Source organism: Homo sapiens, chromosome 22 (assembly GCF_000001405.40).
Source record: "Homo sapiens chromosome 22, GRCh38.p14 Primary Assembly".
NCBI classification, from domain to species: Eukaryota; Metazoa; Chordata; class Mammalia; order Primates; family Hominidae; genus Homo; species Homo sapiens.
This window is the reverse complement of record NC_000022.11, coordinates 50,059,159-50,086,247: the sequence shown is the minus strand read 5'-3', so window position 1 is coordinate 50,086,247 and position 27,089 is coordinate 50,059,159. Positions and strand designations below refer to the sequence as shown.

The following is a 27,089-nucleotide window of genomic DNA, read 5'->3' as shown; positions in this document are numbered from 1 at the left end:
GCATTTTGATCGAGGTGATTTAGTGGGCATTTTCACTGGGACAGGGATGCTTGTATGTGTAATCTTACTAAAAGCTAATAAAAACTTACTAAAAGCTAATAAAAGCTTACTAAAAGCTTCTTGCTTGATTGAAACGAAGACAACAGAACATCCCATGGTCTGGAACCTGATGACTTTGCTCAAGTTTTAATGTGGGTTCATGGTTTAAGGAGCTGGTTTTTCAGAAACTTTAGTTTGAGCCTTTTTACAATGTGCACAAAGAACCCGTTGCTGTAGTTGTCAGGGTGCCAGTGTCTCTGGGCGACACACATTACTGTGGTTTTTCTCTGCTTGGTGAGCAGAGATAAAGGGGGCAGCAGGACCGGGCCCACCAGCCATCCGGGCTGCCCACGCAAACCACAGGGCCGAATCCGGAGCCGCCCAAGGCCACACAGCTAAGCCGAGTGCGTGAATGCTTATGTGACCGTGTGAAGGAGGTTCCCACCGTGTGGCTGTGGGGGATGGAAAAAGGCTACTTGGAAAGATGTAGAAGACCTTCGAGTAAACAGTTACGTTTCAGAAACAGAGCCTGCTCAGAATGTGTACTTGGTGGGATTCTATTCTTAGGGACGCTTCTTTCTTCTGAGAGACCCGAGCTCTGTGGCGAGTGGCACAGGCAGGGCCCCTTCCTTTCCTAGTTGGGTTCTGACAGCTCCGAGGCAGTGGTTTACACAACCAACACGAAACATTTCTACGATCCACCCGATTCCTCCCCTCATTGATATTCAGGAAGCAGCTCTCCTTCCCCTGCCTTCAGCTCAAGTTTGCTGAGCTTTTGTTTCATTTGTGAATACTTCTTGCTGGAAGTCCCTCACCCAGAGACCAGTGCTCCCAACGGCAGAGCAGCGGGGGAGGTAAGTGCTCAGACATTAAGCCGTTGAGTAGAGGCATGTTTTGCAATCTCTCGTTTAGCTACCAATTGGAGCAGTTTAACGTGCTTGAGTCCCCGGCGTGATGTGTTCATGGACGAAGTTGCCGATGGATGTTGTCAGGTGTTGCACCTGGAGGGCCCAGATGGATCAATGAGGCATTTAAAGTGTAGAATCTCACCCTGAACCCAGACTATTCAGGTCCGTTTTTCTAGGAAAGTTATTTCTTTTTCACTTTTAGATTCAAGTGCTCATTTTCTTCTTCAAATTTAGAGCACTTCAGTATGAACAATATTTCTTTTGTTAAAAAATATTTCTTGGAAACAACTTATTGAAGTTTCCTCAGAGTGGCCAAAGCCGATGATAATTTTATTCCAGATAAAGAACTGGTGACACGTGGCTGTACATTCAGCACAGCTGTGGTGTCCCCAAGTGCCATGACCCAGGAGCCATTCAGAGAGGAGCTGGCCTATGACCGGATGCCCACGCTGGAGCGGGGCCGGCAAGACCCCGCCAGCTATGCCCCAGACGCGAAGCCGAGCGACCTGCAGCTGTCGAAGAGACTGCCCCCCTGCTTCAGCCACAAGACGTGGGTCTTCTCTGTGCTGATGGGGGTGAGTAGCTCCACACTAAGCCCTTGGAGGGCCACGAGCATCTGGTCCCTCTGGTGACGGACTGCAGCGCCCTGGAGCCCCAGGTGGGACAGAGAGAGCAACTCTCAGACTAACCCTGCTGCTGCAGAACTCTTGGATGCCGACGAGCTTGTTTTGCTTGTGTTTTCACAATTATTTTTATTAATTTATGGGTGTCTGTTGTGCCAGCCTTGAGCTGCTCCAGGTTGTGGCTTAGTCCCACCAGGGTAGGGACAGTCCCAGGGCCATGAATGGGCCCCAGGAGTCTCCATGACCCTCGGCTCTGGGGGCCCAGGGTCCTCTGAGGGGTCACCTGCAAAGGTGGGAGGAGGCGTCTCAGGCCTTCAGGTCGGCCCTCACAGAGAGAACCTCAGGGACCTCCTCCTCCTAGGGAGGGCCTCAGGGGCCGGCTGGGAGGGAGCTGGGGAACAAAGGAACAGGTCTGGGGTGGACGGGCAGCGCCAGATGTCCGAGGGATTTCCCTGGGGTCCTGGCCATTCCCTGCACAGTCGTGGGCACAGAGATGATTGGAGGAGCCACTTGGGCCTGAGTGTGTGCAGCTGCTCAGAGCCATGCTGCAGGACAGGCCTCTATGCAGGGACCCCCGGTTCCGTGTAGCTTGGGCTGAGAATGAGATCCAGGCTGTGATTTCTCCCCTCCCTGTGCCCTGGCCTCCGCCGGCAGCCCCTGCAGCACCCACAGTGGTCCTGCCCACCTCCCGTGGCCTGAGCATGCCCCACCAAGACAGGCGTCTGCCTCGGAGCTGGGGACAGAGGCGGCTCCCGGGTGGTGGTGGCCATCTCCGGGCTCTGCCCTCCTCCACCTGGTGCCCTGGACTTGGTCGCAGCCCCTCCCCCGCCCAGGCCAGATCCCCTCTGCCCCAGACCTCGCTTCCTCTGCCAGGACCCTGGGTCCCAGTGACCTTTGATACTGACTCCCCTCAGACTCACCCCGGGGGTGCTGTGCGTGAGAGAGAGCCCCCTCCCCACCGCACCCCTGCAGTGCTGTGCGTGAGAGAGAGCACCCTCCCTGCCTCCTGCTAGGGTCTTCCCTGCTCAGGAGCCCCTGGGCCTGGAGCCCCTGCCTGGAGGGATCTTCTTCCAGATCTGGAAATTAGGTTCTGCAGACGGAGGGGGATGGGCAGTTGTTTTCCAGTCTCGTGTCTGGACCTGGGTGTGGGATCTGGAAGACTGCACGCACAACATGTTGGGGCAGGAGTATTTTGTGGGGAGAGGTGCCATTCCTTGCTCTAAATATTGGCAGATCCCCTTTCTTCTCTCCTCCAGATAACAGCGTGGGGGGTCCATGCTCCGACATGGCTGGGGGAGGCTGGTCCATGTCCTGGGCTGCGGCGGGGCTGCGTCTGTCCTACAGGAGGAGTCCAGGATGGGCGGGTCCCAGGTGCGGGTGTGGTTGATGCTGGGGGACGTGGGTGAGTCACCAATACACAGACAGTGAAGCAGAAGTTGAAGGGTCAGGGTCCAGCCTGGGGACGGGGCGCGTTGTAACCTGGGATTCTGTCGCTGTCTTGCAGAGCTGCCTCCTGGTGACCTCGGGGTTTTCGCTGTACCTGGGGAACGTGTTCCCGGCTGAGATGGATTACTTGCGCTGTGCTGCAGGCTCTGTAAGCAGCTTCCTCCACGCCTCTGCCAGTGCCCAAGCTCGCCGGCACGTGCTCTGGTTTCTTTGTTCTGAGATGTGCAGGTTTCTGTCACCTGTACCTCATTCAAACCTCTTCATATGGGCCGGGCACAGTGGCTCATGGCTGTCATGCCAGCACTTTGAGGGGTGGAGGTGGGTGGATCACCTGAGGTCAGGTGTTTGAGACCAGTCTGACCAACATGGACAAACCCCATCTCTACTAAAAATACAAAAATTAGCTGGGCGCGGTGGTGGGTGCCTGTACTCCCAGCTACTCAGGAGGCTGAGGCAGGAGAATCGCTTGAACCTGGGAGGCGGAGGTTGCAGTGAGCCCAGATTGTGCCACTGCACTCCAGCCTGGGCAATGAGAGTGAAACTTCGTCTCAAAACAACAACAACAAGAAAAAAACAAAAAACTCTTCATATGACTTTAGTTTCACGTAGAGTTCATCACCTTTGAGAATTACTGATGAAGCAGGCCTGAACCTTGCTCTGCAGACGCCTGTGCAGGGAATTGCGTGTTGATTCTGAGCCTGCGGCTGCGTCCTGCCAGAGCTGGCAGCATCTGCCCTCAGGGGACTGGGACCTGTGCCCCACATCCTCCCAAAGCTTCATGTTGTGTTTTTAGAAACTTACACAGTGCCAAGGCCGGTGGAGGCACCCACTGATCCTCAGAGCAAGGGAGGACAGACAACCGCTGTCCCCTGGTCCTCTGTGAACCCCGGCCACTGCCTCCCCAGCGTCCCGGCAGCTAGAGCACCATGCTGGCTGACCCCTGGGCTCTGGCCCGCAAGCCATGGACCCCATGCCCCTCTGGCCCGCAAGCCGCGCACCCCATGCCCCTCTGGCCCGCAAGCCGCGGACCCCATGCCCCTCTGGCCCGCAAGCCGCGGACCCCACGCCCCTCCTGCTTCAGCTGGTCCCGAGCTCTCCCCTCCTCTCGCTTCCACATGCCTGCTGGGTCTCTGGCCCCTGCCCTTTCTCTAGGGACACTGTTGGTGACTGTCCCCAGCAGCGCCCCCGAAATGTCTTAAAAACAAAGTGGATGCCCCGCCCCGTGCTGTCCTGGGTCTCTGCTCCCTTAGAACAAAGCCCTTTGGGGCAGGTGACCCGTCCCACTCTGCTGCCCTCTCTGGAAGCTTCTCCGTGGCCTTTATCCTCACCATGGGAGCCGCCCTTGTCCCAGTGGAGCTGTGAGCTGTGCCCCTTCAGCCTCAGCGGCTGCCGGATATGGGCAAGTGCCCACCCCCGCCCAGCCTTGGCCCCACTCGGCCCTGCCCCCGGCCTTTCTTCTCTACCCTGGGCCCTCGTGGCACCTGAGTGGGTGCTGAGCTGAGCCTGGCTGTCCTGGCCCTAGCTCTGCCCCTCGCTCAGGCCCCGACGGGGCTTCTTCTGCCTCCTCACCCAGCACTGCTGTGCTCAGCCCCTCAGGGCCTGCACCCCCGACTCAGGGCCCGGGGTCCCATGGCTGCAGGAGCAAGGCCCTGCACGGCAAGGGCCACAGGCCTGGGCTGGCCCGACTCCATCCACCTCCCTGTCCCTGACGTCCCAACCTCCCTCCCTGGCCCTGGACTCCTAGCCTTGGTGTGGCCCTGTGGGGACAAGAAGGCTGAGGACAAGAAGGCTGTGGGACTCCTTTCTGCCTCCCTCACATGCAGAGTCTTGCTACTTCCTTTGCTCCTTCCTTCCTCTTTCTTTCTTTCTTTTTTTCTTTCTTTCTTTCTTTGACGGAGTCTTGCTCTGTCACACAGGCTGGAGTGCAATGGCGCCGTCTCTGCTCACTGCAACCTCCACCTCCTGGGTTCAAGCAATTCTCCTGCCTCAGCCTCCTGAGTAGCTGGGACTACAGGCACCCGCCACCACGCCCAGCTAATTTTTTTTGTATTTTTAGTAGAGATGGGGTTTCACTATGTTGGCCAGGCTGGTCTCAAACTCCTGACTCTGATCCACCCGCCTCAGCCTCCCAAAGTACTGGGATTACAGGTGTGAGCCACTGCACCAGACCTCCTCTTTCTTTCTTTCTTTCTTTCTTTCTTTCTTTCTTTCTTTCTTTCTTTTTTTGAGACAAGGTCTCACTCTATCACCGAGTATTCACAGCTCACTGCAGCCTCGAACTCCTGGGCTCAAGAGATCCTCCCAGCTCAGCCTCCGGAGTAGTTGGGACTAGAGGTGTGAGCCACTGCACCCGGCTGATACTTTTTCCTTTTTTGGGTAATTTTCAGCAAAGACCAGGTCTTGTGCCTGCGTGAGTTACATTCTAGGCTTCAAAGCTTATCCAGCTAGAAGAGCCTTCATTAACAAATATCTTTTTAGCACATCAGAAAAATAAAAACTTCTTTCAGAATAAATTATTTTGAAGTACCTGGGGGTTGGGCGCAGCGGCTCATGCCTGTAATCGCAGGGCTTTGGGAAGCTGAGGTGAACAGATCATTTGAGCCCAAAGTTAAGATCAGCTTGGGCAACAGAGTGAGACCCCATCTCAAGAAAAAATTAAAACTGAGAAGTACCTGGGGGCCTTCTAGTCAAGCCAACCCACTGTGTTGCATGGACTGGCAACACTGTTTTGTGAATATGATTCAGATCCTTCTGGAAGCGCAAATGTTAGAGTATTTCAGAGTCTCAGTTGCTCAGGTGAGCGGCAGGCTCATGGGATTCCGGTTTCATTCCAGTGCATCCCCTCGGCAATTGTGAGCTTCACCGTCTCCAGGAGGAACGCCAATGTGGTGAGTCTAGCTTGCAGGCAGCCTCTGCCAGGGAGAAAGCCGGAGGGGCTGACAGACAGTGTGCCCATGTGTGCTTGTGTGTGTGCCCACGCACAGACGTTGTGGCACCGAGAGGGGCCCCCGAGGTTGCCCCCCAGACAGTAAAGCTCCTGCCCAGCCCAGCCTTTGCCGCACAGAGGGGAGAGCGGGCTGAGCACGCAGGACTCCCCACCATTATGTCCTAATCAGGATAATTTTTAGTGAATGGCCTGAAGTGTGGTTTATCTGTTACCTTTTTTCTTTTATTATTCAAAGAAGGAAAACCCCTCCTGCCTTGTTTTTCAGATTCCCAACTTTCAGATATTGTTTGTTTCCACGTTTGCTGTGACCACTACGTGTTTAATTTGGTTTGGATGCAAACTAGTCCTGAACCCATCAGCAATAAACGTGAGTTCACACGAGCTTCGCGCAGACGCCTGACACCCACAGCCCCACTCCCACGAATGGTGTCAGCAAATGTTTGTTGAGCTGGAAATAGGTGGTAAATGTTATTCACAGCTCGTGAGTTTGACTAAAGTTGAGAGATTTATGCATCCAAAGAAAATAATTGTCTTTATTGAAGTCTCGTGATTCTGCGGGACAGATTTATTGGTAAACAATGTCTTTTCCAACAGTCCTTAAAAATTAACAGTGACATAATACTATGTTTCATCCAATCTGTGTAAGACAGTTGTTCAATGCACCTCTAAACAAAAATGTGAAATTGTAGGGGGCAGAGGTTGTGGGAGCCGAGATGGCGCCACTGCACTCCAGCCTGGAAGACAGAGCAAGACTCCGTCTCAAAAAAAAAAAAAAAAAAAAAAAGACAAAAATCCCAAAGGAAACCAGGACCTCATCCGAGATACTGCAAGGAGGGCCTCCTGCTTTGTGTGACATGTGGAATGCACTTGATGATTGGGGAAAGCTGGAGGAGGCTTGAGTATGTCCTGGCCACTCTCGTTGGGCAGGAAAAATGAGCAGACACAGGAGGACCCAGTGGGAACACCCACACTGCCTTTTTGTTTTGTTTTGTTTTGTTTTTGAGAAGGAATCTCGCTCTGTCGCCCAGGCTGGAGTGTAGTGGCGCCATCTCGGCTCACTGCAACCTCTACCTCCCGGGTTCAAGCAATTCTCCTGCCTCAGCCTCTGGAGTAGCTGGGATTACAGGCGTGTGCCACCACACTCGGCTAATTTTTGTATTTTTAGTACAGACAAGGTTTCACCATGTTGGCCAGGCTGGCCTTGTACTCCTGACCTCAGGTGATCCATCCACCTCGGCCTCCCATAGTGCTGGGATTACAGGTATGAGCCACCGCGCCCGGCCTGTGACGCTTCTTTATTAAGACGGAGAGCAGATGGGGTGTGGTCCCTGGGTCAGTGGCTTGTATCTGAACTGCTCAGAGGCAAGTTACTCACTGTAGCTGTCGGCTGGCCCTGGGAGGAGCTGTCTCTTCAGGATCAGGAAGGAGCCAGAGGTCAAAGCACCAGAAATACAGAAAATAAAAGACAAGGTTAATGTCACACTTTTCTGAATTTTAGAGTTCTCCTTATGCTTTTGTCTTTTTGATCTGTCATTTTTTTTTTTTTTTGAGACAGTCTCGCTCTGTCGCCCAGACTGGAGTGCAGTGGCTCCATCTCGGCTCACGGCAACCTCCGCCTCTCGGGTTCAAGCAATTCTCCTGTCTCAGCCTCCCGAGTAGCTGGGATTACAGGCGTGCGCCACCGTACCCAGCTGATTTTTGTATTTTTAGTAGACAAGGGGTTTCACCATGTTGGTCAGGCTGGTCTGGAACTCCTGACCTCAGGTGATCCAACCGCCTCGGTCCCCCAAAGTGCTGGGATCACAGGCGTGAGCCGCCTCCCTCTGCCTGATCTGTCAGTTTCTAAGAAAAGTGTTTCAAGTCCTTCCCCACCTCTACTGATATATCTACATCTTCCTGTGGCTCTGTTATGACATCATATATTTCGAGGCTCTGTTTTTAGTTGAATGTGGTTCTGCACTCTTTCTTTTTTAAATGTATTTTAAAAATTGTCAGGCCGGGCGCGGTGGCTCACGCCTGTAATCTCAGCACTTTGGGAGGCCGAGGTGGGCGGAACACCTGAGGTCAGGAGTTCGAGACCAGCCTGACCAACATGGAGAAACCCCTCTCTACTAAAAATACAAAATTAGCCGGGCGTGCTGGTAGGTGCCTGTAACCCCAGCTTACTCGGGAGGCTGAGGCAGGACAATCATTTGAACCCAGGAGGCAGAGGTTGCGGTGAGCCGAGATTGCGCCATTTGCTCTCCAGCCTGGGCAACAAGAGCGAACCTCCGTCTCAAAAAAAAAAAAAAAATTGTCAGACAGCTACACTGACTTTTTAAAATGTATGCTTCTATGAATATTAACACACATATAAATTCATGTCACTGCCAATACGGTCAGGGCCTGCAGTCGTTTCATTACCCTCCAAAAAACCTTATGTTCTCAGTGCTTGACAATCATGCATGAAGCTACTCTAAACATTCCGTGAAGGCTTTTGTGGGAACAAGGAGCGTTCAGAATGGGGTCGGTAGACCAGAGCCCAAGGCCAAATCCAGCCCTGGCCTGTGTTTGTACAGCCTTTGCACTAAGAATGGTTTTAAAAACTAAAAGACCCCAAAGGCCCATGTGAGGCAGGAGAGTGTGCAGCCCACAGTGCCTCACAGCTGGCCCTGGATGGGAAAAGTGGGGACCGTGGCTGAGAGTCCTGCGCAGCCTGCCCGTGAGGTGGTCCGGTGGACGCTGAAGCGCGGTGGCGTGAGAAAGGCGGGCCCGGTGCTGAAGCGTGTGTGCCCCTTGGCAGATCAACTTCAACCTCATCCTGCTGCTCCTGCTGGAGCTGCTCATGGCGGCCACGGTGATCATCGCTGCACGGTCCAGCGAGGAGGACTGCAAGAAAAAGAAGGTGGGTGCAGCTTCTGACCCCGCAGGGCAGGGGGTGCAGAGGCATCACCCCAGGGTGAGCGAGGTGGGTCTCAGCGTCACCCTCGGAGGGCCGATCTGGGCTGCTCCAGGGCATTCCCATGAGACCCCTCTCTCCTGGGTCTCAGAAACCCCGGCCAGGAGGGGCTCTGGAGCTGGGTGAGGGGTTGGCGGCCGCTGGCTACAGGGAGGTGAAGACAGATGCTGTACCCTCCCCTCCCCCTAAGCCTGACTCAGTCCAGTGCTCGTCCCCAGGGGATCACCAGGAGACACCACATCTGCTAATTTTCATATGCAAGGACAATGTGTGTGAACATTTCCTCAAGCCCAAAGATCCACGGGCGCCTCCAAGGCGGTCTCGCATCTACACGGCAGGCTGACCTGACCCACTGCCCACGGCGGCCGGATGCCAGCGGCAGTGCTGAGTCCCTGTGCCCGTGCACCCGGGGTGACAGTTCTGTTTCTTCGTAGGGCTCCATGTCTGACAGCGCCAACATTCTGGACGAAGTGCCATTTCCTGCTCGGGTCCTGAAATCTTACTCAGTAAGAAAACTTCCCTTCTTTCTCTTTTCTCTCATACTCTGTCGGGGGTGACTGAGGCTGGATTAAACGTCACGTTTCGATTCCGAGTTGGCGAAGAGTTGGCTGTCTACACCGCATGGCGGCGTGCGCCTCATCTGTGGAGACTCTAGTCTGTTATTGGTATCATTGGTAATAACCTTCCTTATCGCGAAAGGTGCTGCTGGTGTCCTGTAATTTTTAGGGGGAGTTTGTTACTGCCGTAGGTGAGTTGACACTGTTGTCCCCGAGGAATTTTTTTTTTTTTTTTGAGACGGAGTCTCACTCCATCAGCCAGGCTGGGGTGCAGTGGTGCTATCTCAGCTCACCGCCACCTCTGCCTCCCAGGTTCAAGTAATTCTCCTGCCTCAGCCTCCTGAGGAGCTGGGACTACAGGCACATGCCACCACGCCCGGCTAATTATTTTATTTTTAGTAGAGGCAGGGTTTCGGCATGTTGGCCAGGCTGGTCTCGAACTCCTGACCTCAAGTGATCCACCCACCCAGGCCTTCCAAAGTGCTGGGATTACAGGTGTGAGCCACCGCACCTGGCCTCTTTCTCCTTCTTACTTTCAACTTTTCTTGCCTTGTACTTTGGTATAATTGTTATAAGCAGCACGTAACTGTATTTTGTTCTTTATCTTGTCATTCTCTCTCCCTAGCTTTTTGAATGTAGCCCATTTCCTCTGAGAGTTATTACTGATAAATTTCTACTTATTTTTACCATCTTTTGAGTTTTCCATTTTCCCTGATTTTGCCTTTTTCCCTCCTTCCCTGCCTTCTTTTGAATTGGCAGAGGCTCCGTCCTTCCTTTTCCCTCTAATTTTGGATGGGAAATTTTTCAGTATTCTTTTGGGGGTTGCCCTTCATATTCTAATACGCTCCTTGATAAACAGACCATGCGGGGTCTGTCCCCCTTCCCTCCGCCTTGGCCTTGTTGTCTAGCTTGTGACATTTAGTGACATTTTGCCTTTTTACTCCAACAATGGGACAGCCTCCTGTGTGCTTGACTGTGTCTGTGTGTGTTTCCCAGTGCCTTCACTTCCCCTTATTTAGCATTTCAGTCCTCTCTTAGGTTCCATTTCCGTTCTGCTTCTTTTTTTTTTTTCCTTTTTTTTTGAGATGGAGTCCTGCTGTTGCCCAGGCTAGAGTGCAGTGGTGTGATCTTGGTTCACTGCAACCTCTGCCTCCTGAGTTGAAGCGATTCTCCCGCCTCAGCCTCCCGAGTAGCTGGGATTACAGGTGCCCGCCACCACGCCCAGCTAATTTTTGTTATTTTTAGTAGAGACGGGGTTTACCATGTTGGCCAGGCTGTACTCAAACTCCTGACCTCACGATCCGTCTGCCTCGGCCTCCCAAAGTGCTAGGATTACAGGCATGAGCCGCCGTGCCTGGCTGGGAATTCAGCTTTATTTGTGCATCTGGAGTTTTGTGCCTTCTGGACGCAAGGCCTGGCTGCCCAGGTCCCTTCCGGCCCCCAAGCCCTTGCTGGCCCACTCCTTATGCCTGGCTTTCCTGCTGGCCACAGCTCTGTGTTTGCGACTCACAGAGATCCTTCACGGGAGCAGGTTTTCGGGCGTGTGTTTCTTCCCCAGCCCTCCCTGAGTCTGGCGGTGCTGGTTGCGGCCCCTCCCTGAGTCTGGCGGTGCTGGTTGCGGCCCCTCCCTGAGTCTGGCGGTGCTGGTTGCGGCCCCTCCCTGAGTCTGGCGGTGCTGGTTGCGGCCCTGATGGTGCCGGGCAGATGAGTCCACAACCAGGGCTTAGGCCAGCAGGGTTCTTGGCTTTGTCCAGGAAAGAATTCAAGGGCGAGCTGGAGGTGACAGACAGCAGCTTTGTTTGCAGTGGCAGTATAGCAGGGCTCTCCAACCGGCAGGTGCCTCGAGCAGCAGCTCAGAGACAGCTCTGCCTCCTATTTATACCCACTTTTAAGTATATGCTAATTAAGGGGCAGATTATGCAGAAATTTCTAGAAAAGGGGTGCTAACGTCCAGGTGGTTGGATCATTGCCACGGAAAGGGGTGGTGACGTCCAGTGTTGCCGTGGCAATGGCAAACCCACATGGCACGGGTGGGTGTGTCCTATGGGAAGCTACTTCTGCCCCAGGCCTGTTTTCCCGAGTCCCTTCGATGGGGTCCAGGGTCTGAGCACCGCCGCCTGCCACACTGTGAGACAGGGAAGGGAGTCTGAGGGTCTTGGTTTTCTGCCCTCACCACTGTCAGGTCAATACCCTCAGTTTCTGTGGACAAAAGCAGCAGTGGGGGAAACACCTCTTTGGCTATTTTACTCCAGGAGGGACGTGAAAAGCCGCAGCTGAGGGCAGAGGGGGTCTGGGCCAGGTGAGGCTGGGGGTCCATCCAGGTGGGCTCCTCCACGGTTAGATCTGGGGCCAGCCCACTGGACCCTGCTCCTGGGGGTCCATGTCTGCACAGTGCATTCTGGGAATCTGGGGGTGTCTCCACTTCCTTATGAGCCGATGCTGTCCTGTCCCCTCCAGGTCGTCGAGGTAATCGCAGGCATCTCTGCCGTCCTCGGGGGGATCATTGCCCTGAACGTGGATGACTCAGTTTCAGGCCCACACCTCTCAGTGACGTTCTTTTGGATCCTAGTGGCCGTGAGTAACCCCTCTGGCCCGCCCGCCGCCGCTCTGGGCCACACTGCTCAGATCCTGCGTGGCTGGGCCCCGAGCTCAGTCTTGGTGCATTCAGACAGAGAGTCACCACAGAGGGTCCTCGCTGGCCCCCAACTTCAGAAGAACTGGGGAGTTAAGGATTAAATGAGTCAAAGTATTAACTGCTTTTATATTAGTTTGTGTGATTATTTTATATTATTTTTCCTGAAAAAAATACCAATTATTTTTATTATTCTAATCTTTTTAACATATGAATGTCAGGCTGTAGATGTTTATTATTCTATATAATTTTCTAATATATAATGCATTTATATTACACTATGTGTTTCATACAATGCAGCATATTTCTGTTATTACTTTACATTAAATGTTACTGCAGCAGATGTGTCACACAGCACCTGACACATGCCACATGCTCAATACATGGGCATTGTTTTATTTATTTTATTTATTTATTTTTTTGAGATGGAGTCTCACTCTGCCACCCAGGCTGGAGTGCAGTGGCTCAATATCACCTCACTACAACCTCTGCCCCTCCCCGGGTTCAAGTAATTTGCCCACCTCAGCCTCCCAAGTAGCTGGGATTACAGGCGTGGACCACCATGCCCAGCTAATTTTTTTGTATTTTTAGTAGAGACCGGGTTTTGCCATGTTGGCCAGGCTGGTCTTGAACTCCTGACCTCAAGTGATCTGCCTGCCTCGGCCCCCAAAAGTGCTGGGATTACAGGTGTGTTCCCTCAGAACAGTGAGTCTAGAGCAACCCCTCCACACCCCAGATCCCCTCACAGCCTGTAGCCCACCCAGAGCCACCACCCACCTGCCTCCGGACGCAGACCCCACGAGGTTCTCAGCACCTTGCCGCGTAGTGGCCTGCACACCGGTGTTGACGGCCAGCCCCTGGTTTGTCTCATGCTGTGTGGACTTTTAGATTTTGCCCCTGCTCTCTTATGTACATGAGCAGGAATGGTGAGCACCCAGCATCAGCTACAGGCTCCTCCTGGGCAGCAGTGGGGCTCTTCCTGAAGCTGCCGAGGCCCATGCCTGCCTGGGAGCAGTATGGCCAGGTGGACTGCCGAGAAGGGGCCCACGCCTGCCCGGGAATGGTATGGCCGGGTGGACTGCGGAGAAGGGGCCCACGCCTGCCCGGGAACGGTGTGGCCGGGTGGACTGCCGAGAAGGGGCCCACGCCTGCCAGGTGGACACATCCCATTGGCAGCAGCTGTGTTTCAGCTCCCTGTGGGGGCGAGTAGGCACAGAGCAATGCCCCCAGGGCACCAGTGCCCGACCTAGTGGGCTGCTGAGGCGCTCAGAGAGGGAAAGAGACCCAGGCAGGACCGAGCTGGGATAGAGCCACACCCCCGGAAGGGGTAGGACCAGGCCCAGCTACTGAGACAGAGAACTCACATGGGTGCCCACCCAAGCGGGTCTGTGACAGAGAGAATGACGCCTGCAGGTGTGTACAACTGACCCTGGGGTCTGAAACGCAGGGATTACATCCCGAAGCTGAGGGAGGACAGAGACCACATACCTCCAAAAAGTTGAGAATGAAAGGCACTTGCCCTACCCCCTTCCCTGTCCCTGCAGTCAGCCCTCATCACAGAGGCCCCTCCCATCCCGCAGACCCCTCCTGCCTCGGGGGTGGCTCTGCTCTCTCCATCTTCCCGGAGAGCACCCCCTGCCCATCAGGTGCTGCCCCCTGGGCGCCCCTAAATCCACCCACACTCCCAACCCTCTCTTCAGGGCAGGAGACCCCAGGAGGAGAGGAGAGCGCTGAGGCATGCGTGGTGAGGGACCCAGCTCCACCTGCCTGAGTCTGGCCTGGGTGCGGCAGAGGGGCCCAGGCCCTGCACCATGGGCTGGAGGCAGGTGCTCGGGGCTGGAGTTGGGGGCTGGGCTGCAGGCCTGGACCCTTCCAGGGCAGGGCCCTTGATTGAGCTGCCCCAGCCCCTATGGCTGAGCTTCCTGGCCCTCTAGGGCAGGGGCCGGAGTGGCCATGCTGGGTGAACGGGGAAACTCCCGCCCTCCCATGGCTCACTGGGGCCCTGAATAGGCCACCCTGAAGCCACCATCCCTTCCTGTGCCCTCACTGCTGCTTACAGCTAGAAGGCCCTTTCAGAAGCACCAAGCCCAGGAGAGACCCCTGTATTGACACCTCAGCCTCCCTGGCCAGGGCCACACCCACCTCAGCAGCTGGCTTGGGGCCTTTGCACTGGCAGCCCCTCAGCTCCCCAGTCTTCTCCCTGCTGCCCAGGCTCCCCTGCTCGGAGCCCATCTCTGTCCTGCCCACCCTCTCACCACAGCCCCTGGCTGATGCAGCCCCCTCCCCAGCAGGCCGGGCTGGGGTGCTGGCACCTGGACACCTTCGGGGAGATGAAGAGGATGAAGAGCATGCATCCTCCCTCTGCCTACATTGTGCGGAACTAAGGCAGGCTCCTCACAATAAGTGGGAAAAGGGCATTTCTTGGTTATAAAAAGGAAGAGGTGCCCATCCAACAGAGGAACCTACAGATCCCCCTAACCCAGTGAGTCAAGTCAGCGTCATCAGGAAGGGGCAGTCCACACCCTGGGGCACTGCAGAGTCTCCTCCGAGGCTCCCCAAGGCTCATCATGAGGAAATCCTGTCCCACACGGAGGCCCGACTGCAGCTGATGGGCTGCACCCCCCAGAAGCGACCAGGTAACGGAGGTGACAGAGGCTGAGGGACTCCCCGATTAACAGGGACCCACAAGGAGACTACGAGCTCAATGGCAGACCGAATCCGGATCAGGAGCAAACAAACAAACAGCTCTAGAAATAACATGACCAGGGCCAGGTGCGGTGGCTCATGCCTGTAATCCCAGCACTTTGGGAGGCCGAGGCGGGCGGATCACCTGAGGTCAGGAGTTCGAGACCAGCCTGGCCAACAAGGCGAAACCCCGTCTCTACTAAAAATACAAACATTAGCCTGGTGTAGTGGTGGGTGCCTATAATCCCAGCTACTCAGGAGGCTTGAACCTGGGAGGTGGAGGTTGCAGTGAGTCAAGATCGCGCCACCGTACTCCAGCCTGGGTGACAGAGCAAGACTCCATCTTAAAAAAAAAAAGGAGAAGAAGAAAGAAAAATTATTAAAAAATTAAAAAGAAAGAACATGATGAGGACAACTGGAAGAATCTGGGCATGGACCACATCGGCCCCACGTGGAGTCTCTCGAGCGTGGTCCTGCTTTGGGTGTGTGCAAGAGTGTGCCCTGGGCTCAGCCAGCACTCTCAGGTGTTCAGGCATCAGGCTATCTGGGAGAGCTGGAGAGAGCACAGATATGAATGTCAAGGACTCTGGTGATTTTGGGGCCTCAGATGCCCCCTCCACTGCTCTTGCAGCTTTTCTACAGGCTTAAAATTTTAAACCAATGGTTGAGGAACAGAGAGCACACAAAACCTCTGAGAGGCTACCCCTGCTTCCCTGCGGACCCGTCCCTGCCCCAGCTGCGCCTTTGGGCACTGCACCATCCCCCCTGCCCCCCACAGCAAGCCAGCCAGGCAGCCTGCATGGAGGGGTCACTGGTGGGAGGGCACATGTTTGGAATTCGACTTCTTCGACTATTTCCTCTAAAATCTTTCCTTTTTCTTTTCTCTTAGTGCTTTCCAAGTGCCATTGCCAGTCATGTGGCAGCAGAGTGTCCCAGCAAGTGTCTGGTGGGTGAACCCCTCAGCCCTGGGTGCCAGGGACCCACCGAGCGGGGCCAGGGCCTGGCCTAGCCCTCCCTTGGTGCCATGTGACCAGGCTCCAGCCCAAGAGAGCGCAGTGACTGGGCTGCAGGGCCTGCACAATGAGGAAGGTGGGGTTGTGGGAGGTGGAGGCTGGCCCGCTCAGCAGGGACTGTTCTCAGGGACAGGCAGACCTGAACAAGGTGGTGTAGACACTGGAAGCGCTCTCTGTGCCTAACCCTTGGAAGGAGACCAGTGTCTGAGCATCATCTGCACCTCCTAAGGCTGGTCGATTGTTTTTTTTTCTTTTTTGAGATGCAGTCTCGCTCTTGTCCCCCAGGCTGGAGTGCAATGGCACGATCTTGGCTCACTGCAACCTCCGCCTCCCGGGTTCAAGTGATTCTCTTGCCTCAGCCTCCTGAGTAGCTGGGATTATAGGCGCCTGCCACCATGCCCGGCTAATTTTTGTATTTTTAGTAGAGACGGGGTTTCACCATGTTGGCCAGGCTGGTCTCGAACTCCTGACCTCAGGTGATCCACTCACCTCAACCTCCCAAAGTGCTGGGATTACCGGTGTGAGCCACCACGCCCGGCCGAAACTGCCACAAACTGACCGCAAACAATTGAACTGGTCGATCGTTAATGACTGCTGCCAAAATGTGGACCCTGAGTGCTTTGCAAGGTGACTGCCCATGCTTGGCATGAGTGAAGGCTGTCTCTGAGACTTGATGGGTCAAACAGGAAGATTTGGGGTGGGTTAAAAGGACAGACTTCAGAGCAGTGAAGGAGGTGACCCATGCGGAAGGGCTATTTTTTCAAGAGTGGAGAATTGCAGGTAAATGTTTTTTGTTTCTTGGTTTTGTTTGTTTGAGACAGAGTCTTGCTCTGTCACCCAGGCTGGAGTGCAGTGGTACGATCTCAGCTCATTGTAACCTCTGCCTCCCGGGTTCAAGCGATTCTCCTGCCTCAGCCTCCCAAGTAGCTGGGACTACAGGCATGCGCCACCACACCCGCTTAGTTTTTGTATCTTTAGTAGAGATGGGGGTTTCACCATGTTGGCCAGGCTGGTCTCGAACTCGTGACCTCAGGTGATCCGCCCTCCTCGGCCTCCCAAAGTGCTTGGATTACAGATGTGAGCCACCTTGCCTAGATGGTAAGTATTTCAAAACTTGTGGCACTGTGCTGTGAATGAAAAGGCAGGCTGCTCATGCCTGTAATCTCAGCACTTTGGGAGGCCAAGGTGGGTGGATCACAAGGTCAGGAGTTGAAGACCAGCCTGACAATATGGTGAAACCCTGTCTCTACTAAAAATACAAAACAATTAGCCAGGTGTGGTGGCGCATGTCTGTAATCCCAGCTACTCAAGAGGCCGAGGCGGGAGAATTGCTTGAACCCAGGAGGCAGAGGTTGCAGTGATCAGAGATTGTGCCACCGCACTCCTGCCTGGGCTACACAGCTAGGCTGCCTCTCAAAAAAGAAAGAAAGGCAGGCCGGGCGCGGTGGCTCATGCCTGTAATCACAGCACTTTGGGAGGCCGAGGTGGGTGGATCACCTGAGGTCAGGAGTTCAAGACCAGCCTGACCAACGTGGCAAAACACGGTCTCTACTAAAAATACAAAAATTAGCTGGGTGTGGTGGCGGGCGCCTGTAATCCCAGCTACTCGGGAGGCTGAGGCAGGAGAATCACTTGAACCCGGGAGGCGGAGGTTACAGTGAGCCAAGATCATGCCACTGCATTCCAGCCTGGCGACACAGCGAGACTTGTCTCAAAAAAAAAAAAAAAAAAAAAGAAAAAGAAAAAAGAAAAGGCAGAGGTTTCAGCAGGAGTCATGCAGGGAACCAGCTTGGGACTATGCCCATGAGTGCCCGGCCATGCCCGCCCCCCCAGCCCTGGCCACGCCCGCTGTCCTGGGCTCCCAGGCTCCGGCCGTGGTCCTGCAACCCGCGCTTTTTTTCCAGGTGGAGGTCCTGATTGCCATAAGCAGCCTCACGTCTCCGCTGCTGTTCACAGCCTCTGGATATCTGTCATTCAGCATCATGAGAATCGTGGAGATGTTTAAGGATTACCCGCCAGCCATAAAAGTGAGTTGTATTTTATTTCAGAGCCCCCCAGACATGTGGTGCTCTGCGTGTTGGCCTGGCCCTTGCTGGCTTTGCCTGGGACTCTGGGGGCGCTGGCTCCAGGGACAGCTCCAGGAGGCACCTCCTCCGCTGTTCCTGGGCAGCGGTGACCGTGCTCCCCAATGCCAGCCTGGCCCCAGGGCCTCGGGGCCTCGATTCCGCCCTGTATCTGGGGCCACCACCTGCTTCACAGGGACCTGGGACCCACTCTGTCCCTGAGCCCATTTTAGAATCTGTCCTGGGTTTATGAGACATGCTTTTCGGATTTGCATCAGAACTGCATTGAGTTTAACAGGTGAATTTAAGGAGAATTCAAAGTCCTGTTACTTTGAGCTGACCCAGTAGGAGCTTATCTCCAACACGACTTCTGAGGCTCAGGCACGTGTAGCTAGATGTATTTCTTAGATACCTAGTGTTTTTTTGTTTTTTTGTTTTTTTTTTTCCAGTATAAGTGGTTTTGCACCCAAATCATTAGAAGACCTGTATTAAGCTGTTTGCTCCAGGTCAACATGCGTGTGCTGATGGGGAATGGAGTCACTGCCTGATGGGGGGATGGAGTCACTGTCTGATGGGGGATGGAGTCACTGTCTGATGGGGGATGGAGTCACTGTCTGATGGGGGATGGAGTCACTGTCTGATGGATGGATGGAGTCACTGTCTGATGGATGGATGGAGTCACTGTCTGATGGAGGATGGGGTCACTGCCTGATGGGGGATGGAGTCACTGTCTGATGGGGGATGGAGTCACTGTCTGATGGGGGATGGAGTCACTGATGGGGGATGGAGTCACTGCCTGACGGGGGATGGAGTCACTGCCTGACGGGGGGATGGAGTCACTGCCTGATGGGGGGATGGAGTCACTGCCTGACAGGGGGATGGAGTCACTGCCTGACAGGGGATAGAGTCACTGCCTGATGGGGGGATGGAGTCACTGCCTGACGGGGGATGGAGTCACTGCCTGACAGGGGATAGAGTCACTGCCTGACGGGGGATGGAGTCACTGTCTGACGGGGGATGGAGTCACTGTCTGACGGGGGATGGAGTCACTGTCTAATGGGGTAATGGAGTCACTGTCTGATGGGGGATGGAGTCACTGTCTGATGGGGGCATGGAGTCACTGTCTGAAGGGGGATAGCGTCCTCGGCCTCCCACAGGTGCTGGGATTACAGGAGTGAGCTACAACACCCGGCCCAGGGTTTTTTCTTCACTTCTCTTGTGTTTGCTTCACCCACTCCTACTCCAATTATTTTGTTTCCTGTGACATTTAATATATCTCCTACTTCATGTTGTCTTACAATATGCATATAATTGTTCACGATTACAAGAGACAATATTACCACCCAGGGGCCATCTCCTGAGTGAGCCTGAGGCTTCCCTTTTATCTTCAGCATGCATTCTGCTAGCAGGGGACGGCCACACGCCATCGAAGTCGGCCCCTTTCTGTGTGGGGTTATCCTCTGGGTTCGATACCCCATTAAGTTTAATGGCCTCTGGTTGTATTCCATTTTAGGGCTTGGTGCTTTTTTTCTTTTTAAAATGGTATTTTTTGAATATATAAAATATTTATGTGGTTCAAAAGCCAAACTATAAAAGACGAGCTCAGAAAAGCTGTGGTCTCATGCCTGACTGACCTGCTCCTCTTATGGGCAACCAGATGATAATTTTTTTTTCTTTCTTACAAAATAGCTTGTATACTAGAATCACTATTCTGTACCTTGCCATTTTTTTTTTTTTAAGATAGAGTCTCACTCTGTCTCCCAGGCTGGAGTGCAGTGGCACAGTCTTGGCTCACTGCAACCTCTGCCTCCTGGGTTCAAGTGATTCTCCTGCCTCAGCCTCCGGAGCATCTGGGATTACAGGCATATGCCAACACACCCGGCTAATTTTTGTACTTTTAGCAGAGACAGGGTTTCACTATGTTGGCCAGGCTGGTCTTGAACTCCTGACCTTAAGTGATCTGCCTGTCTCGGCCTCCCAAAGTGCTAGGATTACAGACGTGAGCCACCGTGCCCAGCCATATACCTCGCTTTTTAGTTATGTATTTATTTATTTTATTTTTCAGAGACAGGGTCTCACTCTGTTGCCCGGGCTGGTCATGAGCTCCTGGGCTGAAGCGATCCGCCCACCTTGGCCTCCCGAAGTGCTGGGATTACAGACGTGAGCCACTGTGCCCAGCCATGTACCTCGCTTTTTAATTATGTATTTACTTATTTTATTTTTCAGAGACAGGGTCTCACTCTGTCGCCTGAGCTGGTCATGAGCTCCTGGGCTCAAGCGATCCGCCCACCTTGGCCTCCCAAAGTGCTGGGATGAGGAGGCTTCTGCCACCGTGCCCAGCCCCTTGCTTGTTTTTTTAAACTTAATAATTTATCCTGGTGTTTTCTCGATACCCAAGGGGATCAGAGCTCTTCTGAATTCCTTCATCGCTCCTGACTGCCCGGTCAACCCAGCCAGTCCCTAGTGATGGAAACTGAGTTATTTCCAACCGTCTGCTACTATAAATAACTCCTCCGTGAACAACCTGCACGCATCTTCCTTTTGAATCCTCAGCGCATCTTTAGGATATCCAGCTAGGAGAGAGACTGCTGGGTAGAGGGTAGGTGCAGCTGTCATGCTGATAAATCTCGGCGACCTCCTCAATGGGGGCCGTCCACCTTCCCTCCTGCCAATGGCGTGAAGGTGCTCACTTCTCCACAGCCCCCCACAGAGGGTGTCACGCTGGAGTTCGGTGACACGGGTGGGAGCACCTCCGTCTCAATGTGGGTGAGGACGAGGACCTCTTACAAAGCATGAGGACGTCTGCATTGCTTTTTCAGTGGACTCTGCTCATGTCTCCTGACCATTTTCCGCTAACCCTGGTGCCGGGGGAGACCAGCTCCATCTGTGATGGAGGATACAAATGGTGGTCTCAGCCTGGCGGCTATTTCTTGTTCTGCTTGTTGTGATTTTTGTTATGTGAAAGCTATTTTTTTAAATAGTTAAGTTGATTAATATTTTCTTTAATGGCTCTGGATTTTTTTTTTTTGAGACTGAGGAAAGCATAGGCTTTGCAATAAATGGTGTCTCAACAACCGAAGAGCAAAGACCACATGGGGCCCATGCCTTTACCATCCTCCAGGGTAAACTCCAGCTGGGAACACAAGTACCAGACTTTCTAATAATTACTTAAAATCCAGGCCGGGCGTAGTGGCACATGCCTGTAATCCCAGCAGTTTGGGAGGCCGAAGCAGGCAGATCACCTGAGGTTAGGAGACCAGCCTGGCTAACATGGTGAAACCCCGTCTCTACTAAAACTACGAAAATTAGCTGGGCGTGGTGGCGGGTACCTGTAATCCCAGCTACTGGCGAGGTTGAGGCAGGAGAATCGCTTGAACCTGGGATGTAGAGGTTGCAGCGAGCCGAGATCGCGCCACTGCACGCCAGCCTGGGTGACAGAGGGAGACTGTCGCAAAAAAAAGTTTTATGTTAACTTGAGAAGAGCTGTTCGTTCTGTTTCTTCTCTTACTTTTTGTAGCAGTGACATTGGATAGATGTTTGGCTCTTTTGTGTGTTAACATTTAGTTGCTTTGTTTTTCTTGAGCCAACACGGGAAAGCTATCCATGGGCACAGAGGGTTTTGGGTGCTCCGTGGTCACTCTCTGGCCCCCTGCATCCTCGGCCGCTCCCTCCATCCTCTTCCCTGCCGAGCTCACCGCGCTGCCTCCTGCCCCTTCCTTCCTAGCAGCTGGTGCTCAGGGGTGAAGCTGTTGGGGGTCTGTGCACCCCATCCCCCCAGGACGGCTGCCCCCTGTCTCCTCCGCTCAGGATCCTGCTGACACGGAACGGTCAGCGCTTCTGCCTCCCGCGGACATTCTCTCTGGCTCTGGGACTGAGCCTTGCGCGTGTTGGAGCAGGAGGGGTGGAGCGACTTGACCACTAGCAGCCAGCACTGTCCACGGGGCCTGGCAGTGGCTCGGTCACTTTTATTCCTGTATGTTGAACACAAGCTGATGGAATTTAAAGCAGAATTGACCTCATTAATTGAGCTAGAATGATTATCATCAGGTTGTTGAAATAGCAATGCGTTTGGGTTACTGGGGCTCCGACTCGAGCCCTGGCACCTGCTCTTTGTGAAGGCCGTGGGCACGAGGGAGCTTTGGTCTCCTGGGCTGGAGGGCGGCTGGGCCACTCTGCTCACACCTCCTTCCGCCTGCAGCCATCCTACGATGTGCTGCTGCTGCTGCTGCTGCTAGTGCTCCTGCTGCAGGCCGGCCTCAACACGGGCACCGCCATCCAGTGCGTGCGCTTCAAGGTCAGTGCAAGGCTGCAGGGTGCATCCTGGGACACCCAGAACGGCCCGCAGGAGCGCCTGGCTGGGGAGGTGAGTGGCCTGCAGGGGGAGGGGGCACTGGGGAGGTGAGTGGCCCACGGGGGTGCCCAGCCAGGGAGGTGAGAAGCCTGTGGGGTGGGGGGAAGCTGGGGAGGTGAGTGGCCCACAGGGGTGCCCAGCCGGGGAGGTGAGTGGCCTGCAGGGGGAGGGGGTGCTGGGGAGGTGAGTAGCCCACAGGGGTGCCCAGCCGGGGAGGTGAGTGGCCTGCGGTGCAGGTGCTGGGGAGGTGAGTGGCCCATGGGGGGCCCAGCCAGGGAGGTGAGAAGCCTGTGGGGTGGGGGCACTGGGGAGGTGAGTGGCCCACAGGGGTGCTCAGCCAGGGAGGTGAGAGGCCTGTGGGTTTCAGGGGTGCTGGGGAGGTGAGTGGCCCACAGGAGCACCCGCTGGGGAGGTGAGAGGCCTGCGGTGGGGGCTCCTGTCCTGGTGAGGGCCTCCGAGGGCCACACGACGTGGCCCTCGAAGATTCATTGTGCCACTTTGTATTTTTAAAAACACCCCAGAAAAACCCCGAAGAAGTAAAATGTCTTTCTTTTCTTTTTTTTTTTTTTTTTTGAGAAGGAGTCTCAGTCTGTCACCCAGACTGGAGTGCAGTGGCGCGATCACGGCTCACCACAACCTCCGCCTCCTGGGTTCAAGCAATTCTCCTGCCTCAGCCTCCCGAGTAGCTGGGACTACAGGCACCCGCCACCAAGCCCAGCTAATTTTTCTATTTTTAGTAGAGATGGGGTTTCACTATGTTGGTTAGACTGGTCTCGAACTCCTGACCTCATGATCCGCCTGCCTTGGCCTCCCAAAGTGCTGGAATTACAGGCGTGAGCCACCGCGCCCAGCCGTAAAATGTCTTTTAAAAATACAAACACAAAGCCTGGGTAAACCCAGACCCATCCCTGGGAAATATTCTGGACTTAATGCTTTCAGATTTGCTCTTAGAGACACAGAAGAGGGCTTTGTGAGGACTCCCACAGGTCCTGAAGTTTCCTTCCCTGGTCTCTGGTGGGGACGCGGTTCTGCAGGGAAGGCAATGCCCACCCAGCCTGGCACATGGGGCTCCGTAAAGCTGGGGTGTCAACAACTTCTGGCTGTCACTGCCTGAACAATGTTCCCCCGGGCCCTGCCTACTGTCTTGCTGCCCCCACATCTGAAAGGCAGAGGCTCAGCGTCTTCCCCCCACCGAGCTACGGGTCCTGGTGGTGCTCCCCTGGGCAAACCTGCCCGCTGACCCTCAGGTGCAGTGACCACTAGGACTGTCACCTTGATGCCCAAACACCTGGGCAGCCACTCAGCGGGGCTCTGAGTCCTGCCCCACCTCTAGGCCATCCTGGGCGGACCGGCCGCTGCTCTTGCCCTGCACACCCTGCCCTCCTGTGTTCAGCACACCACCGGCCTCAGAACCTTGGTGCAGAGCCTCCAGTGCCCGCTAAGTCCCGGAGGACGCTCTCTTGCCCTTGGCTCGTTTCTCAGCTGACCCCGTCGCCCCCACCCTCCACCCTCCCTACTGCTGTTCCCTTAACCTGCCTCCTCAGTTGCTTTGCTGCCATTTTTCCTGGCTGTGGTCAGTCTCCCTGCTAGGACGGCAGTCCCTGGGCCTGAAATGAGACCCGCCTGGGTTTCTGTTGTGACCAGCAAGGCCCAGAGTCAGACGCATGAGGTGTTCTCCCCAGATCCCAGAACTGCTGGTCCCAGGGGCTCAGGGTGGGCGGCTGGGGCTCAGGGTGGGCGGCTGGGGCTCAGGATGGACGGCTGGGGCTCAAGGTGGGTGGCTTGGGCTCAGGGTGGGCGGTTGGGGCTCAGGGTGGGCGGCTGGGGCTCAGGGTGGACGGCTGGGGCTCAGGGTGGATGGCTGGGGCTTAGGGTGGACGGCTGGGGCCCAGGGGCTCAGGGTGGGTGGCTGGGGCTCAGGGTGGACAACTGGGGCTCAGGGTGGACAGCTGGGGCTCAGGGTGGACAACTGGGGCTCAGGGTGGACAGCTGGGGCTGGCGCTGTCCTCCCTTTTGCCTGGAGGCATCTGGTTACCTCTGCCTTAAGTGTTTTCTTCCTCAGCCGTCAGGCACATGCCCAACCTTGGGCGGCCTCCCCCCGCTCCCCGCCCCAGAGCCAGGGCAAGGGGCCGAGTGAAGGGCTGCTCCATCCCAGGCTCGGTAGAAACCGTGTGTGCGGGGGGGGATGCAGGCGTTTCTGGGACACTGAGGAAGTGAAGGCTTTTATCTCTTTCCACAGAGGCCCAGGGGTTAGTTTCCCCACTTCCTTCACATTCGAAGAAAACTTCTGAACGCTGGCTGCTCGCTGCCTGTGGCCGAGTGGCGTGTCCACCTTCCCGCCGCACAGGTGGCCCTGGTGAAGTAACACCTTTCCTGTCTCGGTTGCAGGTGGCCAGGAGCCCCCTGAAGGAGTTCGACAAGGAGAAAGCCTGGAGAGCCGTCGTGGTGCAAATGGCCCAGTGACCCCCAGACGCGGAAACCGGGTGGCAGCGCCCAGCCTGGCCCCAAGCATGGAAACGCACAACCCCTAATCGCCCTGAGCTACTGCTTCTAACACCTCTTTTCCCTTGTGTGAGGGCAAACCAGGCTGCAGGTGGGGTTTTCACTTCCTAGGGTAGTTTAATTTTAAAATAGGCCAATGTTGGCTAGTCTGTGCCTCAGTGAGATCAGTCAGCTCCGAGTGGCTCCCGTGTCGTAACAGCAGGAGCATGGCCGCAACTTCCCAGGCCGAGGAAGGGCCCCCGGCTCGGCCTCTTGAGAGCCCCACCCCTGAACTGGCCCCAGCTCCTCTTCCTGCCTCTCTCATGGCTTGGGCTGGAGTGGGCTCTCTGGACCTGACCAGACTGTGGGTCCCTGCGTCTCCTGCCCACTCTGACCGGGCTTCCTCCCTCCACGCTTAGGGTCTGTCCCGGGTACTCAGTCAGCCCAGTGGGATCTTACCCACTTCCCTGCAAGGTGCACCTGCCCCAGGCTCAGGCTGCCCAGCGGCTCTTCCTGGACAGTGAGAGCAGGGCTGGGCGCCTCTGTCCTGGCCCGGGAGCCGCAGGGGCCCCTCCTCCAGAGCCTGGGCGCAAGCGACACAGGCTGCCGCTGCTCTCCCAGGTGAAATCCACACCAGTCCACGCCGGGTCGCCTGCCCTGTCTCCCTACTTAGACCCAGTCATTCTAGAGGGATCCACCGCCACACTGGCCGGCCCACGTCCTGGGTGCTGTCATGCCCAGCTTGGAGTGCCACGTGGCCGCTGCCCACGTCCCGGGCACTGTCATGCCCAGCTTGGAGTGCCACATGGCCGCTGCCCACGTCCCGGGCACTGTCATGCCCAGCTTGGAGTGCCACGTGGCCGCTGCTGTGACAGGCAGTGTTCTTGGGGGTGGGGCTGCATCCAAGGCTTTGTAAACCGGCTGGACCACGTCTCCCTGGCCCCAGTGACCGGGGGAAGCTGAGCCCCTCCCTCCTGTGTTTGCTCCCATTACTCAAAATGCAGGACAGATCAGGTCAGAGCCCAGGAATTCTCACAGGTTCACCCAGCGCCCTCTACCTCCTAGCAAGTACTTTGTCTTGATCCTCACTGAGAAGGCCCCAGGGCAGCGGTCTTCTCCATCTCCGCTGTTTTGGGGTCTTAGGGTACAGCCCAGGCGGTCACTGCCCACCTGCCAGGCTGCAGGGACAGTTGGGTGTGAGAATAACACTGGCTTTGGGTAGTGCCATGGCCAGGAGTGGGTTTCCCTGCGTCTCCTCGTCCCGAGGGCGCCTGGGTCCTCCCAGCTGACGGCAGTAAATCCACAGTGAGTTGGGGCGACTGTGAAACTGGAATGCTGTTACTTTGATAATTACTTTCCAGCAGGTGTTTTCCTTCACAATGGTTTTGTTTCTTTCCTTCTGATCTGAGAAGACATGAACGTTTTCTCTTCACCGCCGTGGGGTGTATTGACTGGTCCCCCATGGGCTGCTGGAAAGGCCCGGAGATGCATCTGTGGCCTGGGGCCATCAAGATCAAAGAACCAGGAGGCCTGGGAGATGCAGCTGGATGGGGCGGCCTGCAGACCCTGCCAGGGGGTTTGAGGACCCTCCCAGGTTTCCCACTGCGGAACAGGAGTGACTCTGGCTGCCAAGATACCTTCATGGTGTTCATGACAAGTGGAATCATTATTTTCAACCATTGAAGGGGGATGCAGGCAAGACACCTTCCCAGCTGCTCCTAGAGGGGACAAGCCAGGCCCTCTCTGCAGTCCTCGGCAGCTCCGGAAGGACACAGTCAGGGGCCGGGCAAACACTTTGGCCACAGCCCCAAACAAGCGCCACCGTGGGAGAGGAGAGGCTGCTGTCACTGGTACCGGATGCAGACCCCACCCTGTCTGCAGGCCACCCCCACCTCCCTGCAGCTTTGAGGCTGGCGGGGTCTGCTCCTGGGAATGGGGTGGGAGCCACAGGGACGACCCGGGGCGGGCTGATGTCTTCTTGGGGGCAGACCAGAGAGCTCAAGTTTCAGAGTCAGAATTAGGCACTTGGAGCGTTTTTGCTGGCTTGCACTTTCTTATTTTCTTATTTTAGAGCGCTTAAAAAATCCGGAAAAATGGGGTTTAAAAGAACTGTCTCTTTCAGTCTACATTTTTGTTTAATACGCTTGAGCAATAAACGCTGACTTGCAGACGTGGCTGTGGCTATTTAATATTGTGTCTCAGCAGCGTCAGCTCACTCAGGTCTAAAAACATCGGGACACAGGGAGGAGGGGCGGGTGGAGGGAGGGCCAGCTTTTCACTCACTGATTTGTGTAACCCCTAGAGGCCAGTACTGGGGTCTGGTGAGAGCCCAGTGGCATTCCCCGGGGAAGAGGGAGGGAGCTGGAAGGGAACCACCCCCGCCAGGGGACGCTCCCACTCCCCCCC

The 27,089-nt window shown here is 55.3% G+C and overlaps 1 protein-coding gene across 18 annotated transcripts, besides 5 other annotated features; it reads left to right on the top strand.

The window, feature by feature from the left end:
- MLC1 (modulator of VRAC current 1) lies at window positions 373-26,857 on the top strand. 18 transcript variants are annotated; one of them, NM_001376475.1, is made up of 13 exons: window positions 373-443; window positions 952-1,109; window positions 1,287-1,522; window positions 3,075-3,164; window positions 5,851-5,904; window positions 6,229-6,330; window positions 8,746-8,847; window positions 9,336-9,407; window positions 11,916-12,032; window positions 15,665-15,721; window positions 17,693-17,815; window positions 22,050-22,214; window positions 24,591-26,857. In NM_001376475.1, exons 3-13 carry the CDS (start codon window positions 1,346-1,348, stop codon window positions 24,663-24,665), a joined length of 1,134 nt encoding a protein of 377 aa, NP_001363404.1. In that variant the 5' UTR covers window positions 373-443; window positions 952-1,109; window positions 1,287-1,345; the 3' UTR covers window positions 24,666-26,857. The 18 variants fall into 18 exon arrangements, 15 of the variants coding, with proteins under 15 accessions (NP_001363404.1, NP_001363402.1, NP_001363403.1 ...); NM_001376473.1 differs by having other exon boundaries at window positions 373-547; NR_164812.1 differs by lacking the exons at window positions 373-443; window positions 952-1,109 and adding an exon at window positions 822-893 and having other exon boundaries at window positions 24,591-24,795; window positions 26,048-26,857.
- Window positions 550-1,174: an enhancer, noted in NCBI's record as "NANOG-H3K4me1 hESC enhancer chr22:50523503-50524127 (GRCh37/hg19 assembly coordinates)". NCBI's record gives its function as "activates a minimal SCP1, AML or CMV promoter by ChIP-STARR-seq in naive H9 embryonic stem cells {active_cell/tissue: H9 hESC(naive)}" and the evidence as "EXISTENCE:reporter gene assay evidence [ECO:0000049][PMID:30033119]".
- Window positions 2,894-3,188: a silencer, noted in NCBI's record as "tiled region #9327; K562 Repressive non-DNase unmatched - State 7:EnhWF". NCBI's record gives its function as "represses a minimal TATA promoter and a strong SV40 promoter by Sharpr-MPRA in K562 cells {active_cell/tissue: K562}" and the evidence as "EXISTENCE:reporter gene assay evidence [ECO:0000049][PMID:27701403]".
- Window positions 11,841-12,347: an enhancer, noted in NCBI's record as "H3K4me1 hESC enhancer chr22:50512330-50512836 (GRCh37/hg19 assembly coordinates)". NCBI's record gives its function as "activates a minimal SCP1, AML or CMV promoter by ChIP-STARR-seq in primed H9 embryonic stem cells {active_cell/tissue: H9 hESC(primed)}" and the evidence as "EXISTENCE:reporter gene assay evidence [ECO:0000049][PMID:30033119]".
- Window positions 12,667-13,548: an enhancer, noted in NCBI's record as "H3K27ac-H3K4me1 hESC enhancer chr22:50511129-50512010 (GRCh37/hg19 assembly coordinates)". NCBI's record gives its function as "activates a minimal SCP1, AML or CMV promoter by ChIP-STARR-seq in naive H9 embryonic stem cells {active_cell/tissue: H9 hESC(naive)}" and the evidence as "EXISTENCE:reporter gene assay evidence [ECO:0000049][PMID:30033119]".
- Window positions 13,549-14,431: an enhancer, noted in NCBI's record as "H3K27ac-H3K4me1 hESC enhancer chr22:50510246-50511128 (GRCh37/hg19 assembly coordinates)". NCBI's record gives its function as "activates a minimal SCP1, AML or CMV promoter by ChIP-STARR-seq in naive H9 embryonic stem cells {active_cell/tissue: H9 hESC(naive)}" and the evidence as "EXISTENCE:reporter gene assay evidence [ECO:0000049][PMID:30033119]".

Excerpts from the sequence above, each read along its gene's own strand:
- MLC1 (NM_001376474.1), top strand. The coding sequence starts at position 1,346 with ATGACCCAGGAGCCATTCAGAGAGGAGCTGGCCTATGACCGGATGCCC. Across the intron at positions 6,331-8,745 it reads TGAACCCATCAGCAATAAAC|ATCAACTTCAACCTCATCCT; the intron begins GTGAGTTCACAC and ends GCCCCTTGGCAG. Across the intron at positions 8,848-9,335 it reads AGGACTGCAAGAAAAAGAAG|GGCTCCATGTCTGACAGCGC; the intron begins GTGGGTGCAGCT and ends GTTTCTTCGTAG.